The 14,177-nt window shown below is 36.3% G+C and overlaps 1 protein-coding gene across 16 annotated transcripts in view, besides 1 other annotated feature; it reads left to right on the plus strand.

The window, feature by feature from the left end:
- Window positions 1–14,177, plus strand: part of DNM3 (dynamin 3) — a 576,969-nt gene that overhangs the window by 479,114 nt on the left and 83,678 nt on the right. For 6 of the 16 annotated variants that reach the window (XM_017000979.2, XM_017000976.2, XM_005245079.2 and 3 more), the window contains one exon: window positions 2,718–2,729. The exons of the other annotated variants lie outside the window; for them this stretch is intronic. In XM_017000979.2, the coding sequence (XP_016856468.1) occupies window positions 2,718–2,729 (12 nt within the window). The remainder of the gene's footprint in view (window positions 1–2,717; window positions 2,730–14,177) is intronic. 16 annotated transcript variants of the gene reach the window in all.
- Window positions 10,351–10,477: a silencer, noted in NCBI's record as "fragment chr1:172300102-172300228 (GRCh37/hg19 assembly coordinates)". NCBI's record gives its function as "represses an EF-1alpha promoter that drives an FKBP-Casp9 reporter gene in an ReSE screen in K562 erythroleukemia cells {active_cell/tissue: K562}" and the evidence as "EXISTENCE:reporter gene assay evidence [ECO:0000049][PMID:32094911]".

Below are 14,177 nucleotides of genomic sequence, written 5' to 3' on the forward strand. Positions count from 1 at the left end.
ATGAAGCTGTAATTCCCAATTAAGTATTACTTCCCTTCTCTTAGGAAACTATCAGTGGGATTTGGGTGTGTGAAGGAGAATTTCCCATCTATTGGCTAAGCAAGCCGAGTTATTTAAAGGGAGATCTGATGCACTCTGGGGGGATAGGCCAGCCTCCATCGGTTAGTCAGGAGTGAGCAGAAAGGCTGTCGGGAGCTGAGAATTCACAAGCCTGCTCTCAGATGCGCGCCTACTGGTAGGAAGTCTGAAACAATGTCCTGGAAAGAAATTTGGTGCAAATCCAGTTTTGCATATTTACTAAGTCTGACACCTCAGAGTTTTTAAAGAGGTTTTATTAGCTGTATATATAAGTGGTCTTCCCCTATCGTGTATTTTTCTTAAGAGATTAAAAATGATGGCAGGAAGTGAATCACCCTGGAACTTCACTATTCCTTCTGAATTCAGGACTGTCCCAGTCATAACTGATGTTTTTAGGTCGGCTTTGCAGATTGAAACCACTTTACAATGAAGTCCTTTTGAAACTTCAGAAATTCCTCTTGGACAAACTCTGAAAGTGAATTTTTCTCTGTGTCAAATAACAGGAGAAAAAGTCTCTGCGTTATTGTAGGAGAAGAAGAGGAATAGCCACAGACCTGCATACATATTTATTAAAGTGCTGATGACCCCTCATATGCATTTTTTCAGCAGTCTAATAATACAAGACTTAAAATGCTTGGTACTTAGCCCCCAACACATAACTTTGTTCTTAGCATTTTCAGCAAAACTTAGAAGAGCTACATGGCCAATTCTGAAGAGTCTTAGTTTTTCTTCAATGAAGTGCTTTCAGGGATCTAAACATAAATTGCTGCCACACAGAGTAGTGAAGGGAATTATAAAGCATTTACATTTCACCATTCATGACTGTTACGCCTCTCTCAGAATAGACAGTTGGGAAATGATTGAATGAAACAAGAAATGGCCAAGCCACACCACGTCCTCCGCTTGTGTGTTTCTTGTATTTAAGGATTAAGGCCTCCTACCCTGTGACATCATTGTTGCCACTACAAACAGAACCATCTGCCATCGAGTGGGGAAGCCAGTCATTCCCTAATGTGCAAAAATACTTGGTTGAACTCCTGAAACTTATTTGGTAGATCAAAAGCTGCACTGCTGTGGAATGCAATAAACTCCATCTGTTTGAAGTATTTTCAGCAATATTGCACTACTTGGGAGAACCAGGGTCCCATTATTCTCTAAAATAAGACTTTTATTCCCGGTAAAATTCCCAGTGGGGATCTTTATTGCCTTATTGAACAGTTGGCATCATTTTTAAAAAGGACTCTTTTTTTCCCTTCATTCGTTCTTATGCCATTATTTATGTCTCAGATAAGCCAGGGTGTTAACGGTTATATCACGGCAACTCACAATGCCAAGAAACTTCTCTTCACTATTTTATCAGTGTCTTTAAATTTATGTTTTCTTTATTAAATATGATGGTCCCTGGATTAGGCATTTCCCTAGAGTCACGAATTGGCATTGTTTTCCAGAAAACACACTCTCCTGGGATCATTACCTTTCCGCTCTCCAGAAAATATCTGTATATATTATTTCCCCCTTCACATCCTCAACTTAAAACTAAATGCCAAATCTACAGCCAGACCTGTGACTCCGCCCTGTTCTAGGTCTCCACAGATGCACACACTTTACTCACAGCTCTCTTCCACCCTGTGTCTCAGCGAGAAATTCCTTCTGGGCCCCTTGTGAGAAGAGTTCAGATCTGTTCCCGGCCCATATCCCATCACGTCTCCCCCACAGGATCTGACCTTGTGAGGACTTGGGCTGCCCCGGGAGTAATGAATCACCGTCTTATTTTTTTAGGCCATATGTGAGTTAAATTGTTTGATATAAATCATACTCTTGCAGCTCAGGGTTGAAACAGGAGAGCCATTTGCCCTGCCGCCTGCTGCTGGCGGTTCTGTGTCTTTACCCAGAGTGTCGCTTTTAGAAATGACTACATTTTTGTGACTAACCTTTCCAGACCCATTTCTTGAGTGTGGACTCATGTTTGTTTTGGCAGCATCCCCACTATACAGTCCTTGCTTCCCATGCCAACCTAAGGCAAAACTCATAATTTACAAAATAAAGGAATGGTCCAGATGGAGGTCGTAACTTGGTCTGCTTACCCTGTCTCCCTAGAACCACCCACTCCTTTCCTCTGCTCTCTTTTCCTTCTTTTTTTTTTTTTCCACCTTCTTTGAAACCAAGGATGCAGTGTTTGTTTAAAAATGCACTGGCTGATGAAATTTTCCACTGCTTGGCATGTTGGAGGAGGAGCTGTCAGGAAAGGGCAAGCCGGCACACAAAATGCTCTGCCTTTCACGCTAACAGTTCACTTATTACTGATTCAAACCAATTCTTTCTGGCCACGTTCCCATACCCCAGGTATTCCAAATAGAAAGAAAGGGGGCAACTGTTCTAAGTTTCTGCTGTTATAAATGTATGATTTCATGTAACCTATGTGGATTCTTTGACTTGTCCATGAGCTCTGGATGCTGTATGTGTATGTATGAGATGTCAGTGAATAGTTAAATCATTTGTTTTGATTTCACTCTAGCAAGAAAAACCTCATTTTATTTTTTTTAATATCCAGAGAAAGTAGAAGAAAAAACCCTCATAATTTTAAAATAAATTTCTGTTTAACATATTTCTCTTTCTTTTCCTTGCGGCTACATGCATAGGGGAACAACAAAGTAAGTTATTTGTCCTCTTGCAGCTCTTCTGTCCCCCCAGCCCCTGCTCCGCTCCTGCATGTCTTGACAAGAGTGTTCCTGTGCATGCTGGAATGACTGTCATCTGTTACAGTGCACGAATTATATGGGGTGTGCAAATTTGGGGGAAAATGTGCATTTGCACTACCATAATGGCTGTTCCGTTTTGACTTTTGGGAAGGGAAACATTCTATCCTTCAGGGTCTAATGGCTAGTTCAGAGAGGTTGACATTATAAGGAAAGAGCTCCCACACTAAAAGAAAAGATTTTGAAGATTTAATAATGAGGACCCTTCTGCAGAAGGGGTACAGCAATAGGATGGAATTCAGTGCAGCTGAAGTTTTTGACTAAAAATCAAACCTCTTATGTTAATGTGCAGTTACAAAAACCCCAAACTGGAGTCTTAAATAGCAGTATGGCTGGCTTTGTTGACGAAACTGAACTAGATCAGTGTTCTGGCTTTGAAGGTGCCTTAAAATGGATGGAGGAGGGTGGGGTCAACATTTCACTTGGCTTCTGTGCCCTTGATGTCTTCCAGCTGGATGGAAGCAGAAGGGTGTGGGGAATGCAGGGGGTGGCCAAAATGTGTATGATAGCTTTGTGAAACCAGGCAACACACAGGAATGGTGGAAATTATTTTAATGTTGTTGTTATAATAGATCAATGAGCAATTTAATAGTTCATGGGGTTGCTAGTTTGTTTAAATTTTAATTCAACTTTTCCAAAAGATTAGAACTATTTCTCACTTATATTAGAAATGTAATAGTAATGTAGTTTGAGAAGATGGTCTTACGTTTAGTTGGGCGATTTGTTTTCTTATTTTTTCTATGGAGATACATTAGTGCTTCACCCTACCAGGTGGCCCACTTAAAACGGGCCTCATTGAATACAATAAGAATTGAAAAGAATCTGTTATATAAGAGTTGGCCGGCATATTCAAACCAGCTGGAATTCGTCAAAATTTCTGTTCATAAGCCATACATATAGAATGTAAAACAAATGTGGGAAATCTTTTGCAGTTTAATCTGATGGAATGTGCTATTATGGAATAAGTTGACATACATGGTTGGTATTGAAAATGTGTCACTTTATAAATTTATATCTTGATATAACTGCTTATAACCCAAGTAATAATATATAATAAAGTATTACCAGAAAAGCACAAGACAGGCATTTGTGAAGGAGTAAAGAGGTGAACTCAGTCGACTTATAGTATGATTTTTAAAAACAGCAGGTAACTTTTGAAATTGATTAAAGATTTCTTCCACAAAGTAATGGCTAATATTTATAACTAATTCCACCACTCTTTGAAAAGACATTTGGAAAAAATATAAAAACCAATATTTTTAGTTCTTATACCATAAAATATACTTCAATTATTGAATAGTACGTATGTCGAATCCTGGTCACTTGCATTGCACTGAGTCTCTGTATGAAATTTCTTGTACTGCATTTCTTATTTGCAAGCAAAACAAAACAAAACAAAACTTTAAAAAGTACCCTGGACTAATTGTGAGTGTGCTAACAGGGAGCCTGTGCATGCTGAAGACCAGGGAGCCAGCTGCTGACATTTTGGGGGAGGTGCTAACTCTCAGACCACTCAAGAAGCATTTAGGATTTGTCTCTTTCACTAGTGGATTCACCGATGAGTTAAGAACATTTGTAAAATTCACTCCCCACACACACACCAAGAAGAAACCCACTTCTCCTTACCAGAAGCCATCCATTTGTTGTGTCATATTTGATTAAGTTCTTCTGGATCCAAAAAATATTCAGTTTAATACATTTTACTGATTTTCAAGTCACTAAATACAATGAGAAAATTCAAAAATTTAAAATTACGGCTCATTAAGGGTTTCCCTAGGATGATGCAGAAGGCTCTTCAGGGTCTCCAGCTGCCCTCGGTCACCAACTGTATCTGAACGCTTGCGCATGTGCTATGAGGACAGCTTTGGGTGCTCCTTAGAGGGCGAGTGTTAGTTGAAGAGTATCAAAGATGCAAGTACTTACTGTTTTGATTTCGAATTAAGGAGTGAGCACTTTGGAGGTGCTAGTATTTATTGCCCCATGCCTTATTTTTAATTGTTTGTTATGAATAAGTGATAGTTTGTGGAAAATATAATGCTTATACTTTTTAAATATGATCATTATACTGACCATAGACTCTGGCATAAAAAAAAAGCCTCCTCAAATCACAAACAGCACATCTGCATGTTATTTTCCTGTAGCTTAGAATTTCAGTATAAATGGAAAATACTGGAATACAAGCTGTGCTGTCTCCGGAGTATAGATCTGGATTCTTCAAAAGGAGAATATGAGATTCCTTTTTTCCTCCCATGCTGGAATGCTTGTTCTGAGTTGTCCCCAAGGCAACATACCTGAATTGTTGCCTGCCATATACGTGAGCCAGCTGTAAAGTGTGACTCATTTTAGACTTGCAAAGGCTTATTGTTTATCTAGTGCATGGCATTTTATTATATATGCTATTAACCAGACTCTAGAGCAAATGAAGTCTGCCCAAATTAATGTTTCCTTAGATGAGCAGGACAGATTCATCTTTCCACATACATTAAGAGTAGTGCACACACATGTGCACATATACATATAACCTGGGGTATATGGAACAATCCTGCTATTTGTTTTCTCAAAGACAGCCAAATTGATCTGCTTCATCCATCTTTAGACTATATTTAAAGTTTGGGAGCTAATCCTCTAAACTCCAAGAAAACTAACTTCTACAATAGATGTGCATTTAGATTCACATTATGAATGCATGACGGAACAAAACATCAAGGTTCACATTCTTCCTGCACAATCATATGTATGTTGTTATTTCTCCTTGAAAAGCACATTTTCCTTTTGTGAGGAGATCACAGTTGCTCAGGAAAAATTTTCCTTCCAGGCCTGTTACTTATTTTTCCCTTTGAAAATGTTTTCGTGTTGGCATAGTGATTTCCTAAATTGCTCAGGGTAGAGTCTATCTCCTCCTAAGATGGGTTTCCCTGGACCACAGATTCCAAGTCAATGTCTTCATTAGAAAGACCAGAATCCAGGACACCCTGAGTCAGTTCTGGGAATGTGAACAAATATGTACAGAAACAGGGAGGTTATTTTGTTTTTTAAACTTGTTTCTTGAGTACAAATGTAAATCAGAATGTTATTTTCAGAATGGAGGCCTTAGGTAAAAAATTAACCTCCATGTTGTGTCTTAGACACAAGCCATTTGATTTCCTTTTTGAATGTGATGGCTTCTCTTGGTGGACAATTTTAGAAATTTCATAGACTTTTAATTTAATTTTTTATTAAATACTTGACGTTTCAGTTAAATATTTTTGATATTAAATTAGGCAAGTTAAAGGTAGAGAAAATCTTAACATGTAAGGAATATAAATATATCAAAAGCCCTAAAAGTTTTTAACGATGTTGGTATAGATACACAAATGAAAACTAAAATGAATCCTAGATTCAGAAATCAATGCTTCAAAAAGTTTTAGGTTACAAGGAAAAGCCACATGTAAGCTCGTGCCTTGTGAATCCTTTGTTGCTTTTAAAAAAGAAATTTATAATCACTTAACTTCAGTATTGTTAAACTAAAGGACTCTTATATTTTCCCCCACAGAATTTAAGGCTGACTGTATTGCTTAGAGAGAAGGATCATTTTAAAGGAGAAATAGAACAGAAACATGCTAAAACAGAATTTTAAAATTGCTAATTAAATTCTAGTTAGGTTAAAAGCAAAAATTTTATACATATTGGAGGGCCTTGATATTTAAGAAAAGAAGAATGAAAGGAAAATTAGATGAATAACTGTTTTTACAACATTTAAGAAACACTTTGTCTAGTGATTTCCTAACACGTTCAGCAAGGCCAGTGGACAAGGTCAGCCTTCATTCGTGGGAAAAGTGGTTATCACTGGGAGTGATTATTTTGGTGATCCATTGGATTCTAGCACTCATTTGCAAAGATAAAATTTACCAAGTCAAATGGCACCAAAGTATATATATTGAAGAGCAAAGATATTAAATCCATATTAATTAGTTATGCCTCTTTACACCAAGCCCTCAACTCCTAAATTATTGTCCTTGGTCGTATGTGAGAGAAAGTAGATAGCCACTGAAAACTCATCCTCACAATGTGAAAATGTCTTTCTGATGATGCGTGTTATAATCATGGTGAATGAAAGGAGCAGAGAGTACAGTGTCATAATGTACATTTTCTTTGTATAATATTAAATGCATGACCAAAAGTCAGAACACTCTAAGCAATTTAGGTATGGTCAGCTCAATTATTTTATTTCAATAATGTGTGTGCTTTCCCTGATTTTCTTAGAAAACTTAAGCCAATACATGCCCTGGGGTCTAAGGAACACCGTCCCCCACCACCTGGTTGACTAAATTTATGCATAACCCAATAAGGACATCATTAGAGTTAAAAGAAAGGATGAAAATTCCCTAGCCTCAAAGTGTTATTTTAGTTCCATGTGAATATAAAAAAAAATTGTCTGTCAATCATTGCATCACCAGTAAACCTTTGCTTCTGTTTTTGGCAAATCAGCCTTAAAAGAGCATTGTTAAAGCCTTATTTTTGAATCCCCTCACTTTAATAGTAAACTGTTGGGAGAAGGAACAGTTTAATTGAGGGTAGAAAACTTCTAGAAGCAAATTGGAATCTATATTATGTTCCCAAATTTATTGATCATGCTAAATAGACTCTATAGAGAAGCAAGAATTGATCTGCTGCTGCTTAGAAAGCTTATAGTAGATTATAATACAGGGATTTCTTAAGGGTCATTAGGGCTTGTTTATATATTTTTATTTTCTCTGTTGGGTCGAAAATGAAGTGACCTCTCTAGTTAATAGGAAATAATGTTTAGGACTTCATAGCTGTTTCAACATATTTGCTCTCACATATTGTAATGTACACATCCCAATATTGTAGACATCTCCTTTCTGCATGCTTCATGATATTTTTAATGGAACTGGTTTAACACTGCTCCAAAACAAGAGTCGTTCATGCCTGTTTTGAAAGCATAATATCTGGATAATGAAAATGTGGCACATATACACCATGGAATACTATGCAGCCATAAAAAAGAATGAGATCATGTCCTTCACAGCAACATGGATGGAGCTGGAGGCCGTTATTCTAAGTGAATTAATGCAGTAACAGAAAACCAAATACCAAATACCAAATACCACAGGTTCTCACTTGTAAGTGGGAGCTGAACATTAAGATCACATGGACACAAAGAAGGGAGCAAGAGACACCGGGGCCTACTTGAGAGTGGAGTGTGAGAGGAGGGCGAGGATCAAAAAATTTCCTATCAGGTACTATGGTTATTACCTGGGTGATGAAATAATCTGCACACCAAACCCTGTGTCATGCAATTAACCTATATAACAAACCTGCATATCTACCCCCTGAGCCTAAAATAAAAGTTAAACAAAAAGAAAACATTTTATCATGAAGTATGAGTTTATTCATTTATTTATTTATTTACTTTTAGAGACAGGGTCTCGCTAAGTTTCCCAGGCTGGTCTTGGACTCCTGGGCTCAAGCAATCCTCCTGCCTCAGCCTCCCAAAGTCCTGGGATTACAGGTGTGACCCATCATGCCTGGCTGATTTTAAAAGTTACCTTGTGATAAGCATTGTTTTGAAATTTAAACCCTTACAGAGTATTTCTATTAAAAATTAAGAATTTGTGTTTTTTTTTGTTTTTAATGTTAATGTGGTTATGGTACTGTATGGTAAAATCATTCAGAATCATTGCAGTAGGGAGGGTTTTAAAGCCTTCTGTCTATCTTTGGCAGATCAACTGAGCAAAAACCAAGATAAAAAAGGATGTGAATGGTATAAAAAATAAGTGAGATTCAAAAGATATATATGTGCATATTTAAAGGATATATGAATATTGAATGTCTGGTAAAATACAGAAAACTAGAGCTGTATAGAAAAATTTAAATGTAAAAACCTATCTATTTACAAGTGAAAAAATACATTCCAAAATAGATCCAATGGAAATTAGTATTTAACTTACAGACTATTTGGAATATAATAATAGTGAAAACACTATACAGGCTACAACCAATACTATACAAAGAGAAAAATTAATTTGAAAATGAATTATTTGTTTAATGGAAGTCAATAAAATTAGGAGATTGGAAAGAGAGCAACTGCAACCTGATGAAAGAAAGAAATTCATTAAGTAAAAATTAATGAATTAGAAAATAGCAAAAGAAAAACAAGAAAGCTTAAACTACATACAAATTTAAAGCTTTCGTATGAGACAGTAGAGTTAAAAGGCAAAAGACAAACAAGTAAAATACCTGAAGCATATATGACAAAGGATTAAATATTCTCAAAATAGAATTATCCCTATTCAGTTTATTAAAAAAGCTAAAACAAAAAAAGCAAAACAAAGCAAAGAACACTACCTACTAGGAAAAAAGGAAGGGGGCCAAATCAATAGAGCATTTAGAAGCCCTCCTAGCCCCTGCAAAAGGACTAATTAATATATGACAAAAAGTTTCAATTTCACTAGGAACCAAGAAGTGTAAATTAAAACAGCCAGCCAGACATCATGATTGGGCTTTCAGATTAGGAGATATGAGAAAGAAGGTCGTGTGATAGGTGGTAACGAGGAAGCCGTCCTCCTTGTGTACCACACATGTTGCCGACTCTGCATGTAGCCTCCCTGGAGGCCAGCTTGAGACTCTGCATTAAATGCCTTGGTTAGGCGCAAACCTTATGGCTCAGCAATTCCACTCTTCAAAGTTTATTTTTATCAAATGATTCCATAATTGTGCAAAGAAATTTGTTCAAAGATGATTTTGAAACATTGTTCATAATTACCAATGTTTTAAAACAGCATCAATATCCATCATAGAAAATTGGTTGAATAGAGTATGGTATATTGATTCAACAAAATGCTATGAAGCAAAGCATTTTTATCTTTAAAAATATAAAGATATATATATAGAAATTTTCATGATAAATTAACAAAACATTGTGCATGCCATAGGTAGCATAATTCCATTTTACTTAAAAAATTTTACATAGGATGAGATATATACATATATGTTTGCACATAGAAACTACCTATTGTGTACTATGCTCACTACCAGGGTACAAAATACCCATGTAACAAACCTGCATATGTACCCCATGTATCTAAAATAAAGTTGAAATTTTAAAAATAAAGAAATTCTGGTACAGAATTTACACCAAAATTTTAACAGCATGAGCAATATTAATTTGTGGTCCTGTGTTGTTTTCTCATTTTTATGTGATAACCATCCTTTGTGTAACTTTCAAAAAAAGGTTTTGAAATACACAAAAAAATGAAGAGGAAGATACTTAAATAGAGGATGGTGAGAAAGAAAGAAAAGTATAAAATGGTGAAAACAGAATATCTAGGAGGAGAAATATGTACCATAAAAGAAATAGATTAAACTTTACAAGAAAATAGATTAACTTTTATATGAATGTCAAAGATACATGTGGAAATTAACTTTAAAGTGGAAACTAAGCATCTGAGACCCTACAAGCTTGACATAATTATGTAATCATGTTTATTATGATTATTTTTGTTGTGATTATACAGATTTTGTTACCTCTTTTCCGTTTACTCTGCCTGTGCAAATATGTTATTTTCCTCACTGAATTGCATATTGTTGAAGGACTATATTAGGAGTCTCCAAATGCTCACATTCCCTCATTCATTGCCTATTGCTTTCAATAGTGTCTTTGTTTCAAATGCTCAAATTCCATGAGATGAAGCCTCCCCATCTTCCTGGACCAATCGTTCTTCCTTAAATTCCAGTTTCCTACCTGTCAGCGCTGTTGACTACTATGACTGTGTTGTGTGTAATATACAAATAATGTATACTGTCTAAGGATTATCAGTGAGCCATTTCATGACCTAATTTCTGGCTCTTGATTTTTCTGCTGTTTTAAAAATCTCATTGAGGTTTAAAGATAACATATAATATTAGGCTAGCAGAATAATTATGTAAAATTTAAATGTAAAAGTCAACTCATTTGCCTTGAACCCATTTATTTATATAATTAAATGTATACTCTTAATGTTGAAAAAGCATGATGACAATTGAAATACCAAGATCAGAATTAGAGTCCCACTAAGAAATGCTCCCTTTAGGAAAAACAATTATTTCTTTTGATTTCAGCCATGAGCAGCACTTAATATACGTTTGCTAGGCACCCCACCAGACACCTCCAGTGAAACAAGAGCAGAAAGGCTTAGAGGTATAAAGTGTCTGGTTCCTATGTAGTATATTTAAGCACAAACAGATTAAGGCTGATGGCAGTAAAAGCCAGTGACTTAATCTGACTCTAAAGAATAAACAGAGTTTAGAAAGAAATTAAAATTGAAGAGAACATTTTGAATACATATGACAGAAAAAAGTTACTATTTTACTACTGTCAAAGTTTGATGAGTTCTTACAAATTAATAAGGAAAGAAAAAACAGGGAAGTGGTGTTTAGGTGGAAAGTCAGAAGGCTGCTGTGTCAGTTCAGGGGAGAGATGATGATGGCTTGGGTTAGGGTCACAGCAGTAGAAATAGTGAGAAGCAGTTGGATTCAGGGTATATTTTGTAGAGCCAATCTTTTGAATTACTGATGGATTTGATATGAAAAAATGAGAGAAAGGGCAAAATCAAAAAAAAAGCTTATTGGGTCTTAGACAATGGGTACATGTTAGTGCCATTTAATAATGTAAGGAAAGGAGAAAGTGGAATGGAACATTTAGTTTTAACCATGCTAAAGTTTGAGATGCCTAGTACACATGAGTTTCTAGTCAGGATAGAGTAAGTTACAATGCTGTAACAAACAACTCCTCAAATCTCAGTAGCTTCAAACTACAAGATTTATTTCTTGCTCAAGCTGCATATTCATCTGAACATTCATCATCAAGTTGGCTGGGGCTCCTCTTTTTTTACTTTTTTCTGGAGATGGAGTCTCACTCTGTCACTGAGGCTGGAGTGCAGAAGTGTGATTTCAGCTCACTGCAACCTCTGCCTTCTGAGGTAAAGCAATTCTCCTGCCCCAGCATCCTGAGTAGCTGGGACTACAGGTGCATGCTGCCACATCCGGCTAATGTTTTGTATTTTAGTACAGATGGGGTTTCACTCTGTTCTCCAGGCTGGTCTCGAACTCCTGAGCTCAGGCAATCGCCCACCTTAGCCTCCCAAAGTGCTAGGATTATAGGCATGAGCCACCATGCCCGGCCAGCTGGGGCTTTTCTCTTTGTTATTCTCACTGCAGGACCCAGGCCAGTAGGATTATTGCCTATCACTATGGCAGACAAAATGAATGAGTAGAGAATCACACACTGGCTATTAATGCTTCACACTGAAAGTAACATGTTATTTCCACACTCCTTTCATTGTCTAAGGCAAGCCACATGGTTACACCTAAATTCAAATGGACAGGAAGTACAATCCTGCTAAGTGCCTTGAAGGAGAACCAGATATTTGGATGACTCTCACTATCCAAATGGCGACATCTTCTAGGCAGTTACATATGTAAATCTAGAGTTCAGGGAAGATGTTTGCAGACAGAGATTTAGAAGTTGTTACGTATTTAAAATCTTGGCACCTAGGAAGAAAGTGCAGAAACCAAAAATAGAGAGCTGAGGACAAAATATCTATCCTTTAAAAATATATTAGAAGAGGAGAAACCAGCAAAATAGACTGAAGAAGAACAGGAGAGTGTGTGTATGTGTGGTGTGTACAAGTGCTTCTGTATTTATATGAGCATATAAACAAGCATAAAAATGGGTTTGAAGAATTAGGGATTCTTGTGAATTTTTTAGACATTCATTTGTTAATGCGTTCATGTATTATTAACTTGAAATCTAATAAGTTAAGACAAAACTGTTACACTAAAAGTGTTTGTGGGAAGGTGGTGGCGGGGAGCAGTAACATTTAAGTAGACTGAACAAGTGAGTATAAGGCACTTGTAGGAAGCTAGAAGACCAGGTGAGCATATGCCTAGACCCAGTTAGTAATGAGTATAATTGCATCGAAGCCGTACACCTGCATATTAAAATTAAGCAATCTGAATAGATGGAGCAGGCAGACAAATATCCCAGAACAAAACCCAAAATAAGTCACTTATTTAGGACCCTATTTTTTAAAGAAACTATAAGCAAAGAGAACTAGCACATTTTAACTTAAAACTGTAGTTGTTTCTAAAGCATTTTCATTTTGTTTATCATGCCTCAACTTGATGCATATTATCTTAATCCAGAGGTAAAAAGGAATTTTTTAAATTATTGGAATATGCAGAATCTAGTAAACAAAGTTGTAAAAAGAAAACAATAATATTTAAATAAGGGTTCAGAAAATATATTCAGTTGCATCCCAACTAACTGAGTTATCCCTAAAATAGAAAAGGCTAATATTATTTAGGGATATCTAATTGTGAAACAAAAGGATATTAAAGACCAGCTTTGCATAATGACAACACACATTCTTCAACATAAAATATTATTGACTATGAATTGAAGAAAAGTTCTGATTGAGACATTTTAATTTTCTTCTTTGACGTAATTAGCCATTAGTCTCATAAATTTTCTCATTTTATATCACAAGGGCTTTAAAGAGAGTTGGTGACACTTCTAGGGATTAGGTCAAAAATAAAATCTTAACTAAAGATCAAAGAGCAAAATAGAGCCTTAAGAAAGGATCAGCTTTTCGAAATAGTTCTGTCACCACAATTAATCCCCCAATTAAGAAACCGAAAAAATACACAGATTCACCTTGACTTATAATGCAGTTACTTCCCAACAAACCCATCATAAATAGGAGAGTGTACTGAATGGATACCACTTTTATACTATCTTAAAGTCAAAAAATTTAAGTGGAGCCATCATAAATTGGAGACTGTCTATATATTGTTTCCACATAGACCAGTGATTCTCAACCAGGGGTGATTTTTCTCTCCAGGGAACTTTTGGTAATGTCTGAAGACATTTTTGATTGTCAGAATGGGAAGTTACAACTGGCATTTAGTGGGTTGAAGCCAGAGGTGCCGCTGAACATCCTATGATGCACAGGACATCCTCTACAACAAAGAATTATCCCATCAAATGTGTCAATAGTGTCAAAAATGATAAACCCTGATCTCACTTAAAATAAGTATACAAGATACTCCTATACCCAAACAGCCTATGAAGATTTGGACCTGTGTCCTTCATTAATGGAGCCCAATTCACTTAGGATTGGATGAAGAAGGGGAATCTGTTCAGCCTGCAGACTCTGGCTACATGCAGTCCACACTTTCCACCATGTTTCAGCAGTAACTGCTTCATATGAAAAATATATTCCCTGCCCTTTGATTTGCTGGTTTGCCTTAGGAAGTATGATAATAACCAAACAGATTTTCATACTTGGGCTTGCCTACTTG

The sequence above is a fragment of the Homo sapiens genome, chromosome 1 (assembly GCF_000001405.40).
Source record: "Homo sapiens chromosome 1, GRCh38.p14 Primary Assembly".
NCBI lineage: Eukaryota > Metazoa > Chordata > Mammalia > Primates > Hominidae > Homo > Homo sapiens.